Here is a 26,779-nt window from a genome sequence, read left to right on the forward strand (position 1 = left end):
ACTTTACATAACAAACTTGGCTAGAAGACAGAGGCAGTTTAGTAAAGTGGACTCCGCCCTTTAAATCCAGTCTGTCACTTATCATTTACGTAACCTTGAGCAAGTCAAAACTAGTGAGCCTCAGTTACTTTATCTGAAAGTAGGAATGATATCTATAATTGATACTACTTTACTGGACTGCTATGAAAGATATAGATGAAATTGAAGTTGGAAGAGTTAAAAAGTTATACAACATTAAACAAGTGACTATACTAACATTACCATCATTACCATGAAGGATACTTCATCCATGCCTTCATAGAACTTATATTCTATCCAAAACTGCCAACTGGGCAGCTGACACTGGGACCTATCCTTTCAACCAGTGGTTTCCAGCGGAACATTGGAAACAAAGTATTGTAACTCCCATATATATTTCTAACATAAAAATACAATTGGCCAGGCGCAGTGGCTCATGCCTGTAATCCCAACACTTTAGGAGGCTGAGGCGGGTGGATCACCTGAAGTCGGGATTTTGAGAGCAGCCTCACCAACATGGTGAAACCTTGTCTCTACTAATAATACAAAAATTAGCCTGGCATAGTGGCACACGCCTGTAATCCCAGCTACTTGGGAGGATGAGGCAGAAGAATCCTTTGAACCTGGGAGGTGGAGATTGCAGTGAGCTGCAACCATGTGCCATTGCACCCCAGCCTTGGCAAAAAGAGGGAAACACCGGCTCAAAAATAAATAAATAAATAAATAAACTAATTAAATTGAAAACTTCCACTATTATTTAATATATGAAACAACATTGGTGTGCCCATCAGATCTAATATCAGATGTTCATCTGTTATGTACAGTGTGCTAGTAAGTCCCTATAAGATAGTTAAGGCACAGCATATTCCCTTTTTCACATCTGCCTGCTTAAACTGACTTGAGCATCTTATCTGAATTAATCAGGCTAACACTCATAAAATGAACAAGTAGTTTAAAATATACTTGCAAAGAAACAAGGATTTGCAAATACTAATGATGCAAACATAAGAAAATGGCAGTTTTTTTATAATTACCCTATTCTGACTTCTGTCAAACATGTTGACAGAAGTTTTTAAAAACAGATGTTTTGAAATGGTTCCATCACTATAATATTTTTTTTAGTCCTAGACATCAATAAAGCAAATGTTTCAGTTAAAATTTGTCTATTAAAATTGTCATCCCTAATACCAATTGATAATTATTCTAAATCCTTCTAAAGCTGTGACACTTTCATACTTTTAACAAAAATGTGTCAAAATCTACTGAAATTCTTTAAGATTTTAAAACACATCAGAAAATTTTGTTTCCAAATGTTGAAAATTTACAGTCATGAAAATTATCAGTAACAGGGACTCTAACATTACTTTTGGCAACAAAATCATAATAATGAAGAATATTTTACATTATTTTCAAATGATATCTTCTTAAAATATATTTTGGGTAGGGCACAATTTTATGACATTAATAAAGTATTTAATCGCTTAATATTTCACATTTTATAACAAATGTAGTACAGTGATACATGTATATATAATTTTCAAAATGTACCTATAGATAATTTAGAATACATAATAAAAAATTTAGACATCCAAGTCTAATCCATCAAGATGATTTGTAATTTTGAAAAGAGTACTTTGCATGGAGTTGAATGATTTGATGATTAACCAAATATGGAAATATTATATTCCAGCAACATTAAAAAACAAAAAATGTTTCCATTTTTGCCCTTTGTTTACTGTAGAAATCTATATACGTACAATTACCTCCATTTGCTGTCAGAAAGGAACCAGGCAAATTTTACTGAATTGGTATTTTGCCAAATCCATCAGAGTGTCACATCTTTCCTCAGAAAGAAACCAACTTCCCTATGTCAGTTCCAAGGAATAGCTATAGTTTTCTGCCTATTAACTGGACTGAACCATGCATTTAAAAAGTCGAATTGTAATAAAATGCAAAACTGCCAGGAAATAGTTACAGTGGTTACAGCCAAGCAACTTCCAGCATTTTACTGAAGGAACTGGAAGTTTACATGTGAAAATGGAGGGTCATAAATCTGTTTATTTCCAGTGCTGAAAGGACATTACATTAAAACCAAAATACACACTCCAGAATTAGCTAAGAAAACAGCAATTTACTGCACAGCAAAGTAGTCAAAGTCCCTGGGCTCATTCCTCACTTACTTACTCATAAACTCAAACCGTAAAGTTGGAAAAAAATCTTAAGAGTTCATCTAATCCACTCCTCAGCTCATGTTCCTCACTATACTCAACAGAGGTGAGGCACACCATGCAGCATTTCAAAGCTTCGGTCCTCCAGGCTTTGGGGAACCCCTGCAGTCAGAACACTCAGGATTTCCCTTGATAGCTAATTTTGTTTTTAGTAGTTTTGAAAGTTAGAACATCACTGTTTTTAACTCTGAGCCCTATCTTGGCCTCTATAGGCTTACACAAGATTAAAACATAAATAAATAAATAGAATAAAATATAAAAGTCTAATCTCTTTTCCACTAAATCATCCAACATATATGGCCTGAGGGCCCACCATAGCCTCTAAGGACACAAAGGTAACACTTCAAAGAACACATCAATAAAACAATACCACATGATATATTACATAACATTCTTTATTTTACAAGTATTTATTGAAGGCTTATTATTGGTCATATATCGTGTAATACATAGGGAATCAAATGGTTAGTAAGATGGAGTTGATCCTTGCCCTAATGAAGTTTAAAGACCAGAGAGGAATACAAACAGGCAATTATGACACAGAATACTAAGCCTTATTATATTCAGGGATCTTCTGACACATGTATCTGCAATTTTGTACTCACTGAATCTTCTCTTCCATAATAAAAGCATGTTGATGCAAAATTACTCAGATAAAAGAACTCATTAGTAATTTTTAAAATTCCATATTAAATATATATACATATATATTTTAAATTTTTTAAGTTCCAGGGTACATGTGTAGGATGTGCAGGTTTCTTACATAGATAAACATGTGCCATGGTGGTTTCCTGCACCTATCAACTCATCACCTAGGTATTAACCCATTTATGCCAGAGGTTGCAATTTGTTGAATGTGAAAAATCAGACCTTGGCAATGACCTTGAGCAGGATATAAAGAACTTCCACATGCTTAGCATTCCAGAAATGGAACACTAGGCATAAATGGGTTAAGCCCAGAATGCATTAGCTATTTTTTCTAATGCTCTCCCTCAGCTTGACCCCCCACCCCCTGACTGGCCCCAGTGTGTGTTATTCCCCTCCCTGTGCCCATGTGTTCTATTGTTCAGCTCCCACTTATAAGTGAGAACATGTGGTGGTTGGTTTTCTGTTCCTGCATTAGTTTGCTGAGGATAACAGCTTCCAACTCCATCCATGTCCCTGAAAAGGACAGGATCTCATTCCTTTTTATTGCTGCATAGTATTCCATGGTGTTTATGTTCCACATTCTCTTTTTCCAGTCTATCACTGATGAGCATTTGGGTTGATTCCATGTCTTTGCTATTGTGAATAGTGCTGTAATAAACATACATGTGCATGTATCTTTGTAATAGAATGATTTCTATTCCTTTGGGTCTATATGCAGTAATGATATTTCTGGTTCTAAATCCTTGAGGAATCACCACACTGTCTTCCACAGTGGTTGAATTAGTTGACATTCCCACCAACAGTGTAAAAGCGTTCTTATTTCTCTACAACCTCACTAGCATGTTGTTTGACTTTTTAATAATCACCATTGTGACATGAGATGGTATCTCATTGTGATTTTGATATGCACGTCTCTAATGGTCAGTGATGTTGAGCTTTTCTTCATGTTTATTGGCCACATGAATATCTTCTGGGAAGTGTCTGTTCATGTTCTTTGCCAACTTTTTAATGGGGCTCCTTTTTTCTTGTAAATTTGTTAAGTTCCTTGTAGATTCTGGATGTTAGACCTTTGTCATATGGATAGATTGAAAAAATTTTCTCCCATTCTGTTGGTTGCCTGTTCACTCTGACAGTAGTTTCTTTTGCTGTGCAGAGCTCTTTAGTTTAATTAGATCTCATTTGCCAATTTTTGCTTTTGTTGTAATTGCTTTTGGTGTCTTTCTCATAAAATCTTTGCCCATTCCTATGTCCAGAATGATATTGCCTATATTCTATTCCAGGGTTTTATAATTTTGGGTTTTACATTTAAGTCTTTAATCCATCGTAAGTTGATTTTCGTATATGGATTAAGAAACAGGAACAGTTTCAATTTTCTGCATATGGCTAGCCAGATATACAGTAGGATTAATTGAATAGAGAGTCCTTTCCCTATTGCTTCTTTTTGTCAGCTTTGTCAAAAATAAGAGAAGAATCAAACAGACACAATAAAAAATGATAAACAGGATACCACCACTGATCTCACAGAAGTACAAACAACCAACAGCAAATACTACAAACACCTCTATGCAAAGAAACTAGAAAATCTAGAAGAAATGGATAAATTCCTGGATGCATACACACTCCCAAGACTGAATCAGGAAGAAGTTGGATCCCTGAATAGATCAATAACAAGTTATGAAAGTGAGGCAGTAATAAATAGCCTACTAATGAAAAAAAGTCCAGGACCAGATGGATTTACAGTTGAATTCTACCAGAGGTACAAAGAGGAGCTGATACCCTTTCTTCTGAAACTATTCCAAACAATTGAAAAGGAGGGACTCCTCCCTAACTCATTTTATGAGGCCAGCATCATCCTGATACCAAAACCTGGCAGAGATACGACAACAAAAAGAAAACTTCAGTCCAATATCCCTGATGAACTTCGACGCAAAAAATCTCAATGAAATACTGATAAACCAAATCCAGCAGCACATCCAAAAGCTTATCTACCACAGTCAAGTTGGCTTCATCCCCAGGATGCAAGGCCGGTTCAACATATGCAAATCAATAAACGTCATTCATCACATAAACAGAACTAAAGACAAAAACCACATGATTATCTCAATAGACACAGAAAAGGCCTTCGATACAATTCAACATCGCTTCATGTTAAAAACTCTCAATAAACTAGGTATTGAAGGAACGTATCTCAAATAATAAGAGCTTTTTATGAGAAACCCACAGATAATATCATACTGAATGGGCAAAAGCTGGAAGCATTCCCCGTGAAAACTGGCACAAGACAAGGATGCCCTCTCTCACCATTCTTATTCAATATAGTATTGGGAGTTCTGGCCAGGGCAATCAGGCAAGAGAAAGAAATAAAGCGTACTCAAATAGGAAGAGAGGAAGTCAAATTGTCTTTGTTTGAAGATAACATGATCCTATATCTAGAAAACCCCATCATCTCAGCCCAAAAGCTTCTTAAGCTGATAAGCAACTTCGGTAAAGTCTCAGGATACAAAATCAATGTGCAGAAGTCACCAGGATCCCTATACACCAACAAAAGGCAAGCAGAGAGCAAAATCATGAATGAACTCCCATTCCCAATAGCTACAGAGAGAATAAAATATCTAGGAATACAGAAGAAGTGAAGGATCTCTTCAAGGAGAACTACAAACCACTACTCAAGGAAATGAGAGAGGACACAAACGAAGGGAAAAACGTTACATGCTCATGGATAGGAAGAATCAATATCATGAAAATGGCCATACTGCCCAAAGCAATTCACAGATTCAATGCTATTCCCATTAAACTACCATTAACATTCTTCACACAATTAGAAGAAACTATTTTAAAATTCATATAGAACCAAAAAAAAGCTCGTATAGCCAAGACAATCCTAAGCAAAAAGAACAAACCTGGAGGCATCATGCTATCTTTCATACTATACTACAAGGCTACAGTAACCAAAAAAGCATGGTACAAAAACAGACACATAGACCAGTGGAAGAGAATGAAGATCTCAGAAATAAGACCACACATCTACAACCATCTAATCTTTGACAAACCGTACAAAAACAAACAATAGGGAAAGGATTCCCTATTTAATAAATGGTGCTGGGAGAACTGGCTAGCCATACGCAGAAAATTAAAACTGGACCCCTTTCTTATACCTATACAAAAATTAACTCAAGATGGATTAAAGACTTAAATGTAAAACCCAAAACAATAAAACACCCTAGAAGAAAATCTAGGAATGCCATTGAATATATTTTTTACATATCAGTTGCTTTGGTTATATTTACATCCTGAAAGTCAGCTTGAAATATGCAATTCTTTTAAAACTCTGCAGGAAGGTAACCTGATAATATTCTTTAGAGCAGGGAATCAAAAAAGATGTATATGGCACCATTCCTGATTTGTCTTTCTAGAATCCTACAAAATTAATTCTTTGTAAGTTGGTAATACTTGTGAAAAGTCTGCAAAAAGAAAAGAAAACTGTGGTGCATTTTCCAGGTACCTACAAAGTTCTATGTGCATTAGGTGTTGAAGATATACAGGGAGAAATACAGATTTTCAATCTGGAAAGAGATGAAAACATGCTACCCAATCACTCCATTACAGCATGGCATGAAAGCAGAGGTACCTGCGATATGCAATGGGAACCAAAGTTCTGATGTTTCTCACGGTAATAGAGAGAGCTGGGGAGGGTTTCAGAGAGCAGCGTCATCAAGGTCCTGAGTGATAAAGAATTTATCAGGTCCAGAGGTGAGATAGATAAAAGTTTCCAGGTGGGAGCAGTCCACTGTACTCTTAATTCATCTTTCTGAAATACTTCTTCTCAGAATAGCAGAACAGTATACCTCTCAGATCATACAAAGAGTCATCTGAATCAACAGAGTAAGGATGACAAACTACTCTCTAGAGAAAAATTCTTCTATTCAAGCAGAAATGCAAGAGAGGAAAGTCCACCCAGACAATATGAATTAAACATAACCCCATAATTTCAGGCTTACCAAAGCTGAAAGAAGTCAGCTCTAAACCAACAGAGCAGGAAACAAGACCATTATTCGGCAGGAAAGAGCTAGAAGATAGCAATCAGTTGAACAATACTGTAATTAAGATTAGTAAATTTGACTATGACACTTAGTTTGTACTTAATTTGAAGTTTACAAAGCTCTTCTACCAATTTCCAAACTACAAACTGAAGGAGAAGGTAAGTTTTGGTCTTCAATGAAAAAACCCTGGTTTAGGCAAGAAAGTCAGTAGCCTAATAGCTAAGGAAACCTAAGCTTCAAGGCAGTTCTTCTCTTAAAACTTCAACATGAGCCCATGCAACATTAAACTAATATTCATGATGCTCACAGACTGGAATTTACCAGGAAATCCAAATATGCCTCTAAATACCATTTACTTATTTGTGAAATGGCTTTTTTCACTATTTAGCCCCAAGGAAGTCTTTAGGCTTGAAAGACAAGTTCTAGCATTTTACAGTTAGAAACTCTGTGAGCTTAGCACTGTAAGAGATTAATTTTCTCTATCTATAAAATGAAACTAGTTATATCTACTTTACAGAACTTTTGTAGCTTATAGTATGTCAACTTCTTAGCACAAAGCTTGTACCTAATGAAAAAAGAAAAGAAAAAAAATAGGGTGTTTACGATACCATCTTTCTGGCCAGAGGTACTGGAGGTCTATAATCTGTAGAAGTATACTATAGCAGTCTGACATATCTGAGAAAGCCTCTTTTTTCCCTTCTTTAAATATGTCCTCCATAGGACCATCTTCCCTTCAATAACTTATATCTGTGAATCTCAAGAGATCCAAGGGCCTTATTTTCTCCTTACAACAGGCTCTTGGGTTCCTCAAGGTAATTAGAGAAAGGAAAGACACTCAGGCAGACAGTTAAACTGTGAATAAAATTTACGCTGTGAATAAAACAAAACATACACTTCAAATCCTGACAATCTTAGAAAAAAATCACTGTAATAGAAGGGATTTCAAAAGAGAAAAAGAACAACGTGTTGTATATTGTTCCTTTTATTAAAAAACTGAACGGTGAAGCCACCCAAGATTTTGCATCTTCAGAATTTTTTTTTCCTTTCTCCTGTGTAGTCTCTGGTTGTTCACATTCCAAAATGATGTTTACTGTTTTCCAAGGGAGTGTTCAGGAGGGCAGCTGCCTTGGAGGTAGGTCACCAGGACTCCTTTGCATTTTGCATGCAAATAAAGACTCCAGAAGGGACTGTAGCTGCTAGAGGCCTTTGCTAGCTGCTACAGGTAGGTCCACACTGTCGCAGGCTGCTCTGTCTCTTAGCCCCAACGTCTGTTCATGGCTGTGGTTTTAAAAGAGTCCCTCAACAGATGCTCTATTTAATAACTACAAGACAATAAAAACTAGGGTTACAAGCCAACAAGGATCATATTGTCTCTTAATATTTAATCATATCAGTTTCTTTAAGTAAAAAAAAAAAAAAATACCAGCACTGATATTTGAGATCCTGGTATATTTTTGTAAATGTTAAGACATTCACAGGAAAGATGCCATTCTGAAGCTAAATGCTTAAGCAACATGTACTGCACATGCAACCAACATGCTTTAGAAGCACATGCATCTGAAGGTAACTGCCACTGAAAAAAACGAATATGTTTCTGAAACATACTTAAGAAACAGGCTAAATATAGTAACTTAGATACATTAACATGTATACCTTGCAAACTTTAATTTAGGCTCAGTGCTGCCTGAATCCACATGACTAGGTACTAGGCTATTTATCCCATTTACACAACAAATTACCAGGGTTTATCTTTTCTACTGGTGGAGCGGTCTCCCTAACTAGGAGAAAGAGTGAAGAGTTAAGGATAAAATTTTGTAAACTGTATTTTGAGAACAGCTTATTTTTCGTGGAAAAAAAAAATAGTGAACCTATCTGGGAAAAGTTTCCTATTGCATCTTCCTCCTAAGCTACCACCATACAATATATTACAGACTCTGAGAAGTTCTGAAATAAAGAAAACTATTTAATACATTCTATATTTATTCAACTACCAGAAAGAACTGAGAAGAAACAGCTTACTAATTTCAACCCTAATGCTCACTTTGATCTGTTATTAGTGGCTGTATGGAACATTGCTGAAGCTTAACAAGATAACGCGACACAACTGATGAGCAATTCCTACCTGGCAGATGTGTGGGTCACTGCTGGTTCATTATAAAGTTTGGAAAATGCTAATATAAGATAAACCTATGGTGCTTTCAATACTTGTTCCCAGTTCCCTTTTTCATATCTCACTTCTGGTATTTAAGAGCCAAGTAACAGAGGAAGGAAAAGGGGAAAGAATATTATGTTAAAATGCAAGGAAGGGTAAGTCTCTATTAATTTTACTCTCTAATCACCTATTTCTTCATCAACATTTTAGACATTTATGGATCCAGTGTGAGCAATGATTTAAACATCTATTCTGAAAATGTGAAGAGAATGTAAAGAGTGAATAAGATTCTCTCCTCCTCAGTGAATAGTCTATTAAGACTATTTTAATAGAAGCCAGTTTTACAAAGCTGGGTCATGTCAGATAAGTGATGAGTATGTCAATTTCTCTGTAAAAGCCACCTTCTCTGTGGAAGACAGATCTAAGCTGCTGTGGCCTCACATGTTTCTCTCTTGAGGGATTCTTTTCAAGAAAAGAATAAGCAACCTAAGGCAGCCTAACTACTTTACGAATGTGAACTGAACTTGAGTCAACCTTTTTTTTAGCTGGGTCTTTACCCTTTTCGGTTCACGTCTACTTAGGTTACAAGTAGCATTCTTGGGAGAGCTGATTTGACATGTGAAAACAGAACATAATAAAGTAGAAAATTACTCACATAAAATAGTGCAGACAACTTAGAAACAGCAGACAAGCAGGCTCAAGCAAGAAATTCATAAGAAAACCATAATCTCTCCAGTCACCCTCTGATGAATAAATAGGCATTAATTTGCATAAGCCATCAGGAAGTGAGGAAGCTTGCTTTTAATAAGAAAGTTAGAAATTTTTCAATGGAGCTCACCCAGTTTGTTCCTCAGATGTGGCAAATCATATATCCCCACAGTTCCCAGCTGCATGAACAAATGACTGATAAAATCAGTGACATCCTACAAAGAGTTTACAATGGTAAACTGAGTCATTATGTTGAGATTAAGCATCATCATGAAAGAAGACATAAAATAGTTAGGCAGGCACTCAGTGCTAAACTTCTGATACTTTTCCTCCACTGAAATACTCTTACAAGTAAACCCAAAGTTGTTTAAAACAAAACAAAAAAAAGACAAAATGCTGAGCTTGATATATTGAATCCAAATTTTAAAAAGTATACCTATCTCAATAAGTCTTCTAAAATTGTTATATCTTAATAATGAACCCAGAAGGCTCAGTGAAAAAATGTCACAATATTCCCAAATCTTTTATTGTAGAAACACAGGCGACATTTCTGGCTGTGTGATAAGCTTGAAATTTATTAATCACTAGCACACAAAGTGAGAAATTAAACCCTCTAGTATGGATTTCTCAACATAGAGTTCTTGTTTCTGTTTGTTTTGTTTTTGAGACAGAGTCTCACTCTGTCACCCAGGCTGAAATGCAGTGGCACAATGTCAGCTCACTGCAACCTCCACCTCCCGGGTTCAAGCGATTCTTCTGCCCCAGCCTCCCAGGTGGCTGAGACTATAGGCGTGCACCACCACACCCGGCTACTTTTTGTATTTTTAGTATAGAGGGGTTTCACCATGTTGAGGCTGGACTCCATCTTCTGACCTCAGGTGATCCACCAGCCCCAGCCTCCCAAAGTGTTCTTGTTTTGAGTAGCAACTTGCTTTAGAAACACTGATGGTCATTTTTTTTAGCTTATAGTTCTATTAAGATTGGAGCCTTTCAAACAAGAGCTCAATTAGAAAGCCCTAAGATTTGCTTCACTATCACCAAATAAAATTTCCAGCCATAATGAGTCTACTTCCCCTCTACATATTTCCTCAGCCCTTGAGTAGCTTAATCTTCAAAATAAAATCTGAGTTCCTTCTCTACTGCTCCCTTTTAGAGTCAGTTTCTTTTACTGCCTCAGAGAAAGTAAAATGAGAAACAGTAGGTTAGAAAGCCTATTCAGGCTGGGCGTGGTGGCTCACACCTGTAATCCCAGCACTTGGGGAGGTCCAGGCGGGCGGATCACTTGGGGTCAGGAGTTCAAGACCAGTCTGGTCAACATGGTGAAACCCCATCTCTACTAAAAATACAAAAATTAGCTGGGCGTGATGGCGGGCACCTGTAATCCAATCTACTCTGGAGGCTGAGGAAGGACAATCTCTTAAACCCAGGAGGTGGAAGGAGCGAGGGCCTGGGAGACAGAGCTAGACTCCATTTCAAAAAAAAAAAAAAAAAAAAAAAAAAAAGCCTATTCAACAGGAGGTCATTTTTTGGAGCTTAGTTTGTTTTACAGGACTTCCTGTCTCTGGGCAATTTGGTGGAGAGAATGCTACACAGAGGAGCTTTATACATGATCATCATTAAAAATGAACAAAGTACATAAGAGCATAAAGAAGAAAAAATAATCACATATCCAGCCATCATGTAAAGTCAGACATAATTAAGCATTTTCACAGTATTCTGTTTCGTGTTGTTACATTGTGTGTGTGTGTGTTTTGTTTTGTTTGGAGACAGAGTCTCACGCTGTCACCCAGGATGGAGTGCAGTGGTGCAATCTCAGCTCACTCCATGCTCTGTCTCCAGCGTTCAAGTGATTCTACTGCCTCGGCCTCCCAAGTAACTGGGACTACAGGCGTGCGCTGCTATGCCTGGCTAATTTTTGTATTTTTAGTGGAGATGAGGTTTCACCACGTTGGCCACGCTAGTCTCCAACTTCTCAAAGTGCTGGAATTAAAGGCAGGAGCCAAGCTAGCCTGCATTGTGTTTTTATATAGGAGATTGCCTGCAGGTACTTTTAAGAAGTGCAAATTTGCTAAAGTGTGCCAAGTACAATGAAATGGTAAATGCTACTAAAATCTGATAATCTTAGAAACTGGCCTGTAGATAGTATTGTCTTTTGTTTTGGCCAGCCCAGTGTTTTAAAGGAAATTTGAATTTGAATGCCTCTAAGACTGTTTCCATCTTGCCACAGGCCTGATTACTCCTTATTAGTTTACATAAGGTTATTTCAAATGCTTAGATACCCACCCACCTGAGTGGGCCCTAAATGTAATATGCAACTCCCATAAAGTGCTCAGATAATAAAATGCCTGGAGGATGCTGAGTAAGAAAAAATCTTTCATTTTTTTATTATTATTATTATTTTGAGACACCCAGGCTGGAGTGCAATGGTGTGATCTCGGCTCACTGCAACCTCTGCCTCCTGGGTTCAAGCAATTCTCCTGCCTCAGCCTCCTGAATAGCTGGGATTACAGGCATGTGTCACCGCACCCAGCTAATTTTTGTATTTTTAGTAGAGACGGGGTTTCTTCATGTTGGCCAGACTGGTCTCGAACGCCTGACCTCAGGTGATCGCCTGTCTCGGCCTCCCAAAGTGCTGGGATTACAGGTATGAGTCACCGTGCCTGGCTGAAAAAAATATTTTAAAAACATACCTAGTACCTCCTGCTCAACTCAAACTATGCAAAAACTTTAGATGTCAAACTTTTATTCCTTCCAAACTTTTATCTAGCTTGAAGTCACATCCAAATATATGTATCTCCATCCCTACTATACCCCCAATTTCTCAAGCTGTTAAAACCAAGTTTTAAAATGGCTTAGAAATCTCAAATCATAAAAAATGTTTCTCTTTCAGATAAGCCCTGAATAAACAGAACTTAATAAAGCAAGTTTCTAGCAATAGGAGCTATTCTGATTGATTCCGAAGTGGAATGCCGAGAATGGCAAAGAAGCTGTGTCTCTCCTGGTGAGATGCAGGATGCTGAGGGAAGCAGAAGGTAAAAGCAGGAGCCTAAAAGAATGCTGTGGTGTGGAAAAACTACTCAACGTGCTTTTTCCTATTCTCAGTCAGCAACAACAATCAATACAAAAGACTTCGGTGACCCCAAAATATGTAGGAAGTTCTCCCCACCAGCAAGCAAGCAATCAATTCTGCAGCAGACACCAGCTCAGTGCCCTCCAGTACAACTCCAATGCTACCTACCAGGAGACAGTTTCAGATCCCGTAGGTTGAGGGCTTAGTCCCCAAGACTGCCTGCCCACTTTAGACACCAGTCTCAAGTCCAGGCCTCCAGAACTTCTGATGGACTGGCTTCAAATTGGGGTTCCCATAACCCCCTCTTTGGGTTCAATTAATTTGACAGAGTGGCATAAAAACTCAGGGAAACATGTTTATGATTTATTACAAAGGATATTTGAAAGGATATAAATACACAGGCACTTGAAGAGATACATAGAGCAAGTTCTGGAAGGGTCCCAGACACAGGAGCTTCTGTCCCTGCGGAGTTAGGGTGGACCACCCTTCCAGCATGATGAGTTCTTCTTCACCTTCCTGTCAGACCCTACATGTTTAGCGCTTCAGAATTCCCTCAAATCTGTTCTTCTTGGGCTTTTATGGAGCGTTCATTGAATACACATGATTAAAGCATGGATAACCATGTTAAAATATAATTAGGTTATAAGGACATGATCTAAACCTAACAAGGCCTGTCTGTTCAGATTCTTCTTGGTGTCTCTGTGCAGTGTTCCTTCTGCTATGGTATGGGGCAGAATACTCTCTGGTATGAGGGTCTTAGAAACCATAATCAGATTAGAGTTCTGCAGTGGGCAGATGAAAGGAGGGTAGGAGAAGATCAGAGAGAGAGATTCTGGTTTCTGTAACAAGGGTCTTGGGAGTGAGTTATGAGCCAGGAACCATGGACAAAACCTATATATGTCATAACATACAAATACTCTGCATGTACCAACTACTCAACAAACTCGAGCAGCAAGAACAATAAGAAACAATCTACTTCAAGCATATCTGAAGCATATATAAAGAGGATAAAAGGAAGCAAGTTGTAGGGTTCCAGTCAGTGGAGAGGCGTGAAAATCCAATTGATTTGTAGGATAACAACAACGATGGCAGGTAAGCATGGCAAGAATTTGTCAAATATTTCTGTAATGGCAGTAGGTTGAGTATGTTTTCGTTTATGTAAGACTCTTTGAATAGCAAATACTACTCAAGTTTTGATGTTTTCTCTTTTTACAAAAATAAATTTTAATGTAAAAGATGCTTTCTAATTCTATAGGAACAATTCTCACATGCAATACTTATTACATGGGCTTGTGTTTTCCTTGAGTTACGCATCCTTTCAAGCACGGTTTCCCCAGCTGCAGGAAATACCCTGATGCTTATGGTAAAATCTGTAAACTTTCTGTATTAATAAATGTCACCCATCAACAGTGGATGACTTTATTATTCAAAGTCAACTCCATCTTAATATCTTTCTTAAGTTTTTAAACTCTGTTTCCCATCACTCTTGCAATTGGATTTACTAAAATAACATGGTATTTTATCACTTTGCAAGCTATGTTTATCTGGAACTACCTGATTATATTAAGTTTCAAAAAGAAGTATCCTATTATATTCTACTCTGCCTAAGGAAATTATGGTGCTTGTCATAAGACCTAACTACTGACCAGAGTGGTTGATTTTTCTGCAGAAAAAGAAAACATGGCCCTGATAATGGTTTTGTCAAATGGGCACTTTAAAATAGACATATCCTGAAATCAGTAGGGCAGGAGTATTTTTTCTATTGTTATTCCTAATGAAAGAATAAGGATTCGATCAATGCCATCCAGAACCATATGATTAGGCAGGGTTCTACCCTCCAACAGCATATATATTAATTCTTTCCAACTCATGGTTGGGAACACATATAACTTTATTTGGCTTTAAAAAGTGATTTTCTATTGACCTAATGTGACTAATGTTCTTAGGCAATGGCAAAACACCAAATGTGCTTACACCGTGATTCACAAAAAGTGATACAATTCCTCATTCAGCCACCAGCTAATTCCCTCTGTCCCTACCAGCTTTGGACTACTATTTAAGCTAAGAACTAACTGATGAAAAAATAATAAAAGAAGAAAACTGCTTTTGTCTATATCTATTACATCTCTGGTAATTAAATAATGATTTTAGAAGTTTCCCCACCAGTTTCTCCAATTCTGCAGAATTTAAGAATCAAAAGTTTTCTAAGTCAAAAGAATAAACTATGTACTTGTCTCTTTTTACCTATTCCTCATCTCCTAAATAATTTATTTAACCTATTTCCCAACTGAATTCCACTTCATTCATTCATTTTTTTTGTAATAAATTGACTAGGTGTCTATTGTGTGTCAAAGAAGAAGGGATAGAGACAGAGGAAAAGAAAATGACAAAAAATTATGTACAAGGTTTATGGTACATGGTAACAATTGCCTTGAATATCTCTTCCTTTGCACATGCATTCCACATGCAATTGATTCTTAATCTGAAGTCAAAGAACCTTTGAAGGGCTGTGACAGAGTAACTGTAAGAGGTCTGCAAAGGCCTAGGCTCATCAACGTATACACCAAAGATTATTTTCAGGTTAAATATACCACATATACATTACAATTTTAAAAATTTATATAGATACTATTGTAAGTATGTTTTTTACAAAAAAAATGCGTAGCATCTGGAAATGATACTAAAAATAGTTAACAACTGGTTAAGCATGGGTTTCCACTAATTCAGTGGACTGGTGGCCATCAACAGCTAGCATGGACAAACTGGTTTCCACCAGCTGCATATCACACCAGCAAATCCAGTTGAGGAAAGGCAACCTCTTCCTCTCTATTTCATCTTTTTTTTTTCCATATTAAAGAAAGGTCCTTATTTTAAAAATATTTCTGGGAGTTATTATTCTAAAAAATATTGTAAACTTGCTTGGACCGCCATAACCTTGTGACAAACCACAACTCCCATGAGAAATTATAACAAGTTTAGAACTAGGCCTTTGTTGGTGCTTTGTCTTTTATCATATTTAACAGAGTTATTCCCTACTTTCCCACTTCTTCCCAGATGTTTTAAAGGCTGTAAACCTTTCACCATGAAAAAGTCTGTCTTAATTTATACTCTATGTATAATGAGAAACGCCTAGTTTCAGGCTTATGTATCCAATTTACTTGAACCATTTAATATTTAGCTTACAAGAAAAGTTCCAGCTTGTGAAGAACAAATGAAATGGGCTGCAATTTGTGCTAAACTATTTTAACCCTGAGTATGTTTGCAATTGGAAAAAGTGTGTTATGAGAATGAACAATAGTTCTTTCCTAATGAGAGAAGGAAACAAGCTGGGTTGACTTGGCTACCTTTCACTTTAACCAGCCTAAGGGAGTAACTCCTAGGTTCTCTCTTTCTGTTAGTTTAGAAGAAAAAATTACTCAACATATTTAGTACATTTAAGATAATGAATCATTTAGGCCTATCACTACCTCAGCCAACAGGTAGTGATAGGAAGGACAGCATAGTAACTGCAAGAAAACAAAATGTGTAATCTCTCTATCTTTCCTACAGATTTAGAACAAAGCCAAATGACTATGGCAACATTTAGAAATAAAGTGGTAGTAATAAGGAAAATAAATTAAGAATTTAGTCATACTTACCAAAATGTAAATTTTAAACATAATTTATACATATTCAAATGTAGCACTGGTATTTTGTAAACCTACTAAAATCATAATTTTAAATAAAGTGGCAAAATTATACCAACTACTACTACTCTTGGGAAGAGTGGTGTCAATTCCGGTCATCTTCTTAATCTAAAATTAAAATTCTGAGGGTCTACTAATCAGAAGAGGTTTCAGATATCAAATCATTGAAAATGTAAATCCAACTTCCAACAAAACTAACCTTAAAAAAGGCAAACCACTTGTAGTCATTCAACACAATCTCAAAGCCTTGGTTGTAAATGATGGTGAAATGGCCAGAATTGCCAAGGTCATCATATGCTGTATCCAGCTTCTGAAGGTACACCACTACTTTTTTTTCTTGTGGTCCTAAAGAAAAAAAAAAAAAGCACAATAAAGGAAAATTATTTGGATTTCAATAGGGGAAAGAATCCCCCAATTTCAATTTTAATTGTGCTGCTTTCCTTTCATGCTACCCAGTTTGAGCACAGTCTGCCTAGTGAAGAAACCAGAGGCTCCATCTTGTTGCCTCAAACAGTTCCTGCTCCGAGGCAAGACTGTGAAGTTAGGCTCTAAAAATTTGAGATAATGCAAGCAGAAGCAGTGGCTCACGCCTGTAATCCTAGCACTTTGCGGGGCTGAGGTCAGAACTTCAAGACTAGTTTGGGCAACATAGTGAGACCCTGTCTCTACAAAAATAATTTTTAAAAATTCGCTGGTTATGGTGGTGCATTGCCTGTAGTCCCAGCTATTTGAGCGGCTGAAGCTGAGGTGGAAGGATTGCTTGAGCCCAGGAGTTGGAGGCTGCAGTGAGCTATGATTGCACAACTGCATTCCAACCTGGGCAACACAGTGAGACCTTGTCTCAAAAAAGAGAGATATGCTATGCAGCCCAGCAGGCAGGGAGACCCCCAAAACTACAGTACCTTTCCAGAGCATCCCAACACTGAAGAAATTTTTCCACTGAACAAAAGGAGAAATGGGGAATGTTGAAAATTACAGGCTTCCAGAAACGGAGAAAAGGCAAAATGCTAGTCAAAAGTGGGAAATGCAAGAATAAAAGGTATGACAACAAAAAGATAAATAAACAGACTATCAGATCCTAAGGAAGACAATGTGCTAAGCCCAGGAGAAGACACAAAATGATCTATTCGGAGAAGAAATGGGGTACCTTTCTCCTCAAAGGCTCTACAGTTTAGAACCTCATAATCTGAATCCTTCCAAAGTTTATTCAGCAAACTAGAGGTCTGTATCCTATAAAACCAATTAGTGCTGATAGGAATGATACGTTTAACCTTCATAGATGAGGGCTCAGACCTGTGGGTGCCTTTAATTACTGAATTAAGGCCAAAGGTAATTTTATAGGCAGAGCCTTCCTGAAAATGATTCAGCTGTGTCCATCTGGAGAGTTGTGTATTTTAAAGTTTTTCCATGTTTGAGAGTAATGCTCTGACATGGGAGATTGCATGTGACAGGGCAGTGCAAATCCTGATCTCTTTCTGCCCCAACCTTCAAACTCAAATTTAAAAAAAAAAAAAAAAAAAAGGCCAGGCGTGGTGACTCCCGCCTGTAATCCCAGTACTTTGGGAGGCCGAGGCGGGCGGATCACGAGGTCAGGAGATGGAGACCATCCTGGCTAACACAGTGAAACCCGTCTCTACTAAAAATACAAAATATTAGCCGGGCGTGGTGGCATGTGCCCGTAATCCTAGCTACTCGGGAGACTGAGGCAGGAGAATCGCTTAAACCCGGGAGGCGGAGGTTGCAGTGAGCCGAGATCCCGCCACTGAACTACAGCCTGGGTGACAGAGCAAGACTCCATTCTCAAAAAAAAAAAAAAAAAAGTTACAATGTTCAGGATTATGAAATGCTATACAGTCAGTTAAAAAGGTATTTCTTTAGTAACAAATGACTTAATCTTTGTTCTGTTGACAAGAAAATTATAGCTGATTTTTTACTGACTCTGCAGAAGTCACAGGCTGTAAGAGGGTTTGGGTAGACCACAGTGTGACTCTTCTAACTAGTGATTGTCTTTTTTCCACCCCACCCCCTTCACTAGGTTCTTTGTTCTAGGGGTAACCATGTTATCTGAAGGCATATGGAATATCTCCAGTATGTTCAAACACTAGGTATTTATTGAGAGCCTTCCATGAGCCAAACATTGTGCAGACTCTGGGCATTTCTAATTACTAGGTTCAGAGTTAAGTTTTCTTTGTTATTAATTTTTTAAAAAATTTTTACCTCCTTGCAATGCATGAAACAATGCAGAGTGGTACTAGCCGTTTTCTAGTACTCATCAACACCCGCTCAAACCAAAATCGCTGGGCAGAAAGTCCCTTTCCCACCATCTAACAAAAAGAGAAAACTTCATGCTATATCCTCGAGAGTCTCTGAGCTCATCTATCTTCACTAGTAAAATAGTAATAAAAAATAAAAATAAATTTTAAAAATAACGCTACCAGATCGGACTGGAGAACCAAACGATTGCAGTTCCCAAGTCTCTCTCAAAGCAAACAAAATTAAGCGGGAGGAATAAAAAAGTTCTTGATCAAAGTGTTGAGTCCCCAAGATAACCAAGAAAGTGTGGAGTTAGAAGTTCTCAGCAGATGAACTTTAACTTCGCGAGCCTGGCGGGGAAGAAGGTCCCCAAGGGTCCCCGAATCCAGTCAAGATGCTCTGGCCACCCACAAGCGTCTGCCTGGGGGGAAGCGGTAGTTGGCGTGGCGCTGCGTTAGGGGCTCAAGGGCAGAAAGGACGACCCGGAGGACTGCCGAGCCGGCGGCTTACCCATAACCGAGCAGTTGACATCGCGCTGGGAACCGCTGGAGCCCACCTGGAAGACCCAGGTGCCCAGCAGGTCAAGATAGGTGCAGTTGGCAGGTGTGTCGCAGCGCACGGCGCCGTCGCCGGAGAGAAGCAGCAGGAGGGCGGCGAGCAGCAAGGAGGGCCCAGCACCCATGCTGCAGGGAGCTGAGAAAAGAGGTGAAGAATTACCAGGAAGCCGAGCGCTGCGGGCTAGCGGTGAGTCCACCACGAGGCGCGCGCCTTGAAATAGCTACGCCGGCCCGGAAACCCGTGGGCGGGGTCACTGAGCAGCAGGGGATTGGGGGTTGGGCGCCAGGCGCGTGCGCGTCTCTGAAACGGGGACTTGGGAGCGCGCGCTGCCCCTCACTTGGCTGCAACTGGACCCAGAACTAGGGAAGAGGCCAGGGACAGATTTTTTTTTTTTATTTTTATTTTTTTTGCCGAGGGACGTTTCAAAATTTTGCACGGCCAGGGTGACAAAAAGAGGATTTAAGAGCCACAAGCGGTCCGCACATGACCCAGACTTCGTTCCTGTGCGGTAACGTAGGGAGAGAAGGAAAGGGTGTGGGGGGAATAAGGGAGTGGGTCAGGTGAAAGAGCGCGACAGAGGGAGAGATCTAGCAAGTGGAGTTCTGTTTTACTTGCTATTCTTCCCCTTTAGTCTTTTTTCTCAGGTCCACTTGCCTCATAACCAACTTCTTGTTTTTTCCTCTGAAAAACTTCGCTAGCTAACATCAACTATTCCAGCTGTTTGAGAACTTATCTTCCTTCCGTTTTCCAACTCTTCCTACTTTTTTATGTGCTTGATTTTGTTTTGTTTCCTGGTAAATGCTGTTTGCCTGTTTGCATTCAGCAGAATTCAGTTTTTGTGCAAACCTGCAGTTTTGATGTATTAGCGTTGTGGGGGTTTTCCCTCTGGCACGCACACACATGGCGCTCTCAGAGATGATATTGCTCAACCCCTTTTATGTTACAGAGGAAAAGCAAGAGGCCCAGAGAGAGGAAGCGGCTTGCCCAGGGTGAGAAGGGTGAGGAAGGAAGCTAGCCAATGGGAGAAGGCTGGTCTTATGAACCGTTCTAGTGTGTCAGTCTGATCGCCAAAAATTATTAGGTGGCACTATTTCCAGGTGCCTCCTTGCTCAGTTTAAGTATCACCCTTTTCCGTAAGAGCCTCCCGTTCTTTCCTGGCTTTTGTTGGTAATTGGGGCTCCTTTCTCCCACTGAGCCTACTAGGTGTCAGGCCCTGTGGACACAGTGATGAACAAGACAGACCTGATGTGTCCCCGTTTTCTTTGGGATATGAATTTTTGCCCCCTTTGCACTGGTCACAAATCAATATTCATATGTCCATTTTTTTTCCACCAGATTATAAACATTCAAAGAGAGCAGGTCCAAATTATTCACTTATATCTCCCTAGATTCTGGTTTATTCAGAAAGTGTCCTTGAGTGTTAAAATAAGTGTACTTAATATTCTTATCTTGGTTGCCAAGCTTGAAAGCCAGTTTCAATGAGGCAAAAGGAGTTGTCCTTGAAAGTTCAGAGGTGAAAATACTCTTCAATGGGGGCACAAATTTCCAAAGCCTGGGGCGGGGTTGGTGGCGGGGGGTTGGGGAACACCTTGCTTTTAGGTTTTATATACCTTCTTAGAATTGAAAGCTGACATTGTATAATTAAGCTAACACACTATTTATTTAAAGATACCCTGACAGATTAAGCTTCCCTTCCTGAATCTCTAGGAAGGTGTGTTACTGATTGTTAAAACATTAAATTTGTATTAGGTCATCAATATTGAAGAGCCAGTTTAGGTGGAAATTTCTTTGATGAATGTAATCAAAGCAACACACTTAATTGTAAAGAAAGTTTAAAACAGTCTTTATTCAATGATTGAATAATAGAAAAAGATCTTGTGGACCTCTTAGTCTAATGGATTCATTTTAAAATTGGGAAATGGAGATTCAGAGAGTTAAATCACTTGCTGAATGTCATATTGCCACTTAGTAAGATTTAAGAATGAACCTCAGGCACATTGATTTTCAGTTTAGTTTATTTCTACTAATCTAATAATTCCCATACTGTTCTCTCTCAAAAATAACTACTAACTCTCCATTCCACGCACACACAAAAAATTGATTCTCAAACTGATCAGACCCCAAATCCTTTACTTTCTGAAATGAAATTAATATATAAACTGCTTACACACTTAATAAAAAGAAATGTAATGCCAAATGTAATATAAAGAAGAAATCAGATATTTTAAATATATTTCTAGTATAATAAGTTATATCCCATCATGTAAAATGTTCAAGTATGACTGTGTTGGAAAACATAATGAGGCACTCAGATACTTGCTCTTCACACTTCTGTAACCACCCAATGGATTCACCTGGCCTGCTGCCTAGACAGAGCCAATTTATCAAGACAGGGGAATTGCAATGGAGGAAGAGTAATTCATACAGAGCCGGCTGTGGGGGAGACGGGAGTTTTATTATCACTCAAATCAGTCTCCCCGAGCATTCAGGGATCAGAGTTTTCAAAGATAATTTGGTGGGTAGGGGCTTGGGAAGTGGGGAGTGCTGATTGGTTAGGTTGGAGATGGAATCATAGGGGGTCTAAGTGAGTTTTTCTTGCTATCTTCTGTTCCTGGGTGGGATGGCAGATATGGTTGAGCCAGATTGCTGGTCTCAGTGGTGTCAGCTGATCTATGGAGTGCAGGGTCTGTAAAATATCTCAAGCACTGATCTTAGATTTTACAATAGAGATGTTATCCCCAGAAGCAACTTGGAGGGTGGGAGGGTGCAGACTCTTGGAGCCAGAGGCCACATGACCCCTAAACTGTAATTTCTAATCTTGTAGCTAATTTGTTAGTCCTGCGAAGGCAGACTGGTCCCCAGGCAAGAAGGGAGTCTTTTTGGGAAAGGGCTATTATCAATTTTGTTTCAGAGTCAAACCATGAACTGAATTACTTCCCAAAGTTTGTTCCACCTATGCCCAGGAATGAAAAAGGACAGCTTAAAGATTAGAAGCAAGATGGAGTCGATTAGGTCTGATTTCTTTCACAGTTGTAATTTTTGCAAAGGTGGTTTCACTTCTATGTAAAATTGTAGAATCGTGGTAAATGTGATAGGAACTTTTTTCTGAGAGCACAAATGATTTCTGATGAGTTATAACTCAAATACCTTATCAATTAATCACTCAAACACCATACCAAAGTTGTTGATGTTGGACAATTCTTGGTCAAATTCCCAGGAGAACAAAGTAGAATTTTCTGTTGAAGGTTTATCAAGAGGTTGCATTCCCAAAAATTCAGTATATGTTAAAATTATATAAAACAAAAGTGAGCTTATGTGCAAAACATGGTCTGTCAGTAGGCTCCCATCATTAAAAGCAGGTTTACAGAGAGGCAGCATTACTTGGCAGTGGTTCTCAAAGTGTAGCCTAGGACCAGGGACATCAGCATCTGTCTTAGTCTGTTTTCTGTTGCTAGAACTGTACCTGAGACTCGGTAATTTAAAACAAAGAAAATTATTTTTTATAGTTCTAGAGACAGGTAAGTCCAAGGTCAAGAGGCCCCATCGAAGGGGGCCCTTCTTGCTGGTTGAGACTCTTTGCAGAATCCCAAGGTAGTACAGGGTATCACGTGGCAAAGGGGGTCATGAGAGATGGCCAAACTAGTGCTTATTACAGACCCACCCTCATGATAACTAATCCTTGATAATTCCATAATCCATTAATCTATTAACCCATGATAGATTCATCCATTCATGAGGGCACTGCCAATCACTTCTCAAAGGTCCCACCTCTCGACACATGACTTTTGGGGGACAACCTATGTTCAAACCACAGCATTCTGTCCCTGACCCCCAGAATTCATGGCCTTCTCACAATTCAAAATACAGTCATTCCATCCTAGTAGTCCCAAAAGACTGAATTTGTTCCAGCACCAACTCAAAAGTCTAAAGTGTCATCTGGGAGTTTGTGAAATCAAAACAAGTTATCTACTTCCTAGATACAATGGTGGGACAGGTATAAGGTATACACTCCCTTTCCAAAAGAGACAAACAGGCCAGAAGAAAGAAGTAACAGGCCCAAGCAAGTCAAAAACTCAGCAGAGAAGACTTAAATTTTAAGGCTGGAGAATAATCTTTCTTGATTCCATGTACAGCATCTTGTGCACATTGGGGGATGGGGTATTTCAGGAGGCCTCAAGGCACCCTGGTGCCCTCAGCTTTCCCAGGCAGGTATTGCATGCTGCTGGTGGCTCTACTGTTCTGGGGTCCTGGTGGCAGTCTGGCTCTTACAGCTGCATTAGGCATTGCCCTTAGGGGGGCTCTATGCAACAACCCCAGTTCCACTGTTCCACTTCGTATTGCCCTAGTGGAAGCTCTCTGCAGTAGCTCTACCCTCAGACAGTCCAACACATTCTTCAAAATCTAGGTGGAGGCTGCCAGGCCTCCACAGCTCTTGCATTCTATGCACCTGCAGAATTAGTACCACATGGATACTGCCATGGTTTACCACTTGTACATCCTAGAGCTGCAGGTTAATCTGCACCTGTGGCTGCTTGAACCACAGCTGGGGGCGCTGAGGAGCAGTGTGCTGGAACGCAGGGAGTAGAGACCCAAAGCAGCCCTGGGCAGCAGTCCATCCCCGGAATTATTCTGCCCTCTTAGAGCTCAGGGCCTATGAGGAAGGGGCAGCCTCAAAGATCCCAGAAATGCCTCTGGGGTTTTTAATTTCATTGTCATGGATAGCCTTTGGCTTCATTCTATCCATGGTGACCTCTTTAGCAATCTCTTGACCATACCCAAACACCCCTTTCACTGTTAAGGTGGCCAGGCTTCAAATTTTCTAATGTTTTTCTATTCTGTTTTTTCTTATATCTTACTATAAGTAGTTAAAAGAAGCCATTTAGTAGCCTAAATACTTTGCTGCTTAGATATTCCTTCCACCAGATATCCTAGTTTATCACTGTTAAGTTCTGCATTTCATAAAGTCCTAGGACATGGACAGAATTTAGCCAAGGTCTTAGCCAGTTTATAGCAGCGATGGCCTTTACTCCAGTTTCCAATACCTTGTTCCTCATTTCCATCTGGGACCTCATCGGAATGGTCTTTTCTATTCATATTTCTATCAGCATTCTGATCATGACCACTTAAATGATCTCTAAGGAGTTTCAGACTTTCTCTAGCTTTTTGTTTTACTAAACCCTCACCAGAATCAGCCTTAATGCTCCATTCACAGTGATACAAGCTTTTTCTAGCGTGCTCATCCAAATTCTTCCAGACTGTTCATTACCCAGTTTCAAAGCCATGTTTATATTTTCAGGTATTCACTATTAGCAACAGCCCTACTCCTTTGTACCAATTTTCTGTGTTAGTTGATTTTCTGTTGTTATAACTGAATAACTAAGACTGGGTAATTATAAAGAAAAGACTTTTACTTCTTACAGTTCTGGAGGCTAGGAAGTTCATGGTCAGGGGGCCACAACTGTTGAGGGTCTCCTTGCTGGTGGCGACTCTCCAGAGTCTAGAGGTGGTGCAAGCCATCACACGGTGAGGAAGCTCACGAGAAATGGAGAAACTGGCTTTTATAACACATTCACTTTCATGATAACTAACTCACTTCCTTCATAGCCCATAATCCATTAATCTATGATTGGATTAATCCATTAATGAAGGCAGAGCTCTTATGACCCAATCACCTCTGAAAGGCCCCACCTCTCAACACTGTTGCATTAGTAACCAAATTTCTAACACATGAATTTGACACATAAATTTTAGTGGACAGCTATATTCAAACCACAGTAGCATGCCCTTGGAATTTGTTAGAAATTCAAATTCCTGAGTCCCATATCTACCAAATAAGAAAATGTCTGGGTAAATCCCAGCAATTTGTGTTTTAACAATTACCTTTGAGAGGTTCCTGATATAAACTAAAATTTGAGAATCACTGGCTTACATATTAATGGCAAGGACTCCAGCCAGACTATCTCTATTTGAAGTCTGGTTCTGACACTCAGCAGCTGTTTAATTTTGAGAAAGTTATTTTACTTCTTTTTGTGCCTTGGTTTTCTCACCTGTAAAATGTTTGGAATTATATTCCCAATGACTACTACCTCACCTGGCTTCGAGAAGACTAAATAAGATAATACAGATCTCTGTGGAGATCTGACTACATACATGTATTACTGTGTGTATTTCTATTGGAAAATTTTCCTTATTAATTAGACAGTAGATTCCAAATCCAGTTCAATGTAATCCTAGCAATCTGAATAACTCCTAGCACAAAATAAATGTTCAAATATTTGTTGAGTAAATGAACATTATGATTGATGTAAATTTGTCTATAATTCATAATATTTGGCAAAGAGCAGTATGATTTCTATGTTCTCTGCCTCATGAATAAATTGGAAAAACTATGCTAGAATACATATCAAAACTAAGAAAGATCTTAGAGGAAGAATTTGATATATTAATATTATACTATGTTGTTTGCTATTGTATATACCTCTGTAATTAGTAGTAATGATAATGATCATAATAATTTTATTTACCACTTTACATTTTACCAAAATAACAAACATATATTAATGTTATCCCATTTAATCATCTCACAATTGTATGAAGAAAGTATTACCTGATTTCTATTTTATCTCTGATCAAACTGAGGCTCAAATAATCTATTAGAGAGCAATGCCTGTGAAAGAAAAAAGAGGGAAGGAACAGGAATAAGAAGAGAAACTCTCAGATGACAAGGTAGTTCTCTGACACCTGCTAAAGAAGGAAGGAAAGGGGACTGGGGCAAAAAAGACTTAGAGATACACCTCTGAGATAGCCTCGGCCAGCCTAGCAGGGAACTCTGGTGCAAAGACTGCCCATAAGGGAGCTTGGCTTAAGCCCAAATGGTCAGGCTTGATACCTGTGCTGCACTTAGCAGTTGGCCTTGATTGAAAAGCTGAGGTGAATCCTGAAGCCGTGATGGCTGGAAGCTGTCAGCAAAGGACACCCCTATGACAGGTGCTCTCTGGAAGAGAAATGGGAGCAGAGCGCCATCATGGCAGCCACAGTGGGGAAACTTCTGTTTGAAATTATGGGTTGATTTAAACCATAAAAAGGAGGCTGGACCGTTTGTTCAGGCCTTATGATGTCCTGGGTACTGTACTCTGTTTCTGTCCTCCTGATCTTCTAGGCAGATGTCAAAACTCTCTTTCCTATGACCCCATGCTCCTGCATTCATAATTCATTATAATTATCTGAGTGAATGACTGTCTTTTCCATAAGGCTCCATGCTCCTTGACAGCAGGAATATATTATTTTCATACATCAAGGTTCATCACAGAACCTGGTCAATGTTTATTCATTTATTCACTCAATAAAATGTGTAAAAGAAAGGAAAAAAGATATGAAGCTAAGCAGGAAGGAAGGCAGAAGGAGAGAATAATGAAATT

The 26,779-nt window shown here is 38.8% G+C and overlaps 1 protein-coding gene and 1 long non-coding RNA gene across 7 annotated transcripts in view, besides 3 other annotated features; one reads left to right on the top strand and one right to left on the bottom strand.

Moving 5' to 3' along the window:
• Positions 1–19,549, bottom strand: part of CTSC (cathepsin C) — a 44,145-nt gene extending 24,596 nt beyond the window's left edge. Inside the window, exons 1-4 of one of the 3 annotated variants that reach the window (NM_001114173.3) lie at positions 19,314–19,549; positions 16,750–16,895; positions 9,925–10,009; positions 2,624–8,212 (exon numbers count right to left, since the gene is read on the bottom strand). In NM_001114173.3, the coding sequence (NP_001107645.1) occupies positions 8,190–8,212; positions 9,925–10,009; positions 16,750–16,895; positions 19,314–19,485 (426 nt within the window). In that variant the 5' untranslated portion in view covers positions 19,486–19,549 and the 3' untranslated portion in view covers positions 2,624–8,189. Of the gene's footprint in view, positions 1–2,623; positions 8,257–9,924; positions 10,010–16,749; positions 16,896–19,313 lie in introns of those variants that run through there. The other 2 variants (NM_148170.5, NM_001814.6) reach the window with 2 other exon arrangements.
• Positions 12,025–12,144: an enhancer, noted in NCBI's record as "active region_5381". NCBI's record gives its function as "activates an Ori minimal core promoter by ATAC-STARR-seq in GM12878 lymphoblastoid cells {active_cell/tissue: GM12878}" and the evidence as "EXISTENCE:reporter gene assay evidence [ECO:0000049][PMID:35858748]".
• Positions 12,594–12,888: a silencer, noted in NCBI's record as "tiled region #1780; K562 Repressive non-DNase unmatched - State 17:Gen3'". NCBI's record gives its function as "represses a minimal TATA promoter and a strong SV40 promoter by Sharpr-MPRA in K562 cells {active_cell/tissue: K562}" and the evidence as "EXISTENCE:reporter gene assay evidence [ECO:0000049][PMID:27701403]".
• Positions 19,265–19,544: an enhancer, noted in NCBI's record as "active region_5382". NCBI's record gives its function as "activates an Ori minimal core promoter by ATAC-STARR-seq in GM12878 lymphoblastoid cells {active_cell/tissue: GM12878}" and the evidence as "EXISTENCE:reporter gene assay evidence [ECO:0000049][PMID:35858748]".
• Positions 19,697–26,779, top strand: part of LOC101929174 (uncharacterized) — a 90,309-nt gene continuing 83,226 nt past the window's right edge. For all 4 annotated transcript variants that reach the window (NR_188508.1, NR_188511.1, NR_188510.1 and 1 more), the window contains exon 1: positions 19,697–19,869. This is a non-coding gene — a long non-coding RNA (uncharacterized LOC101929174). The remainder of the gene's footprint in view (positions 19,870–26,779) is intronic.

This window comes from Homo sapiens, chromosome 11 (assembly GCF_000001405.40).
Source record: "Homo sapiens chromosome 11, GRCh38.p14 Primary Assembly".
NCBI classification, from domain to species: domain Eukaryota; kingdom Metazoa; phylum Chordata; class Mammalia; order Primates; family Hominidae; genus Homo; species Homo sapiens.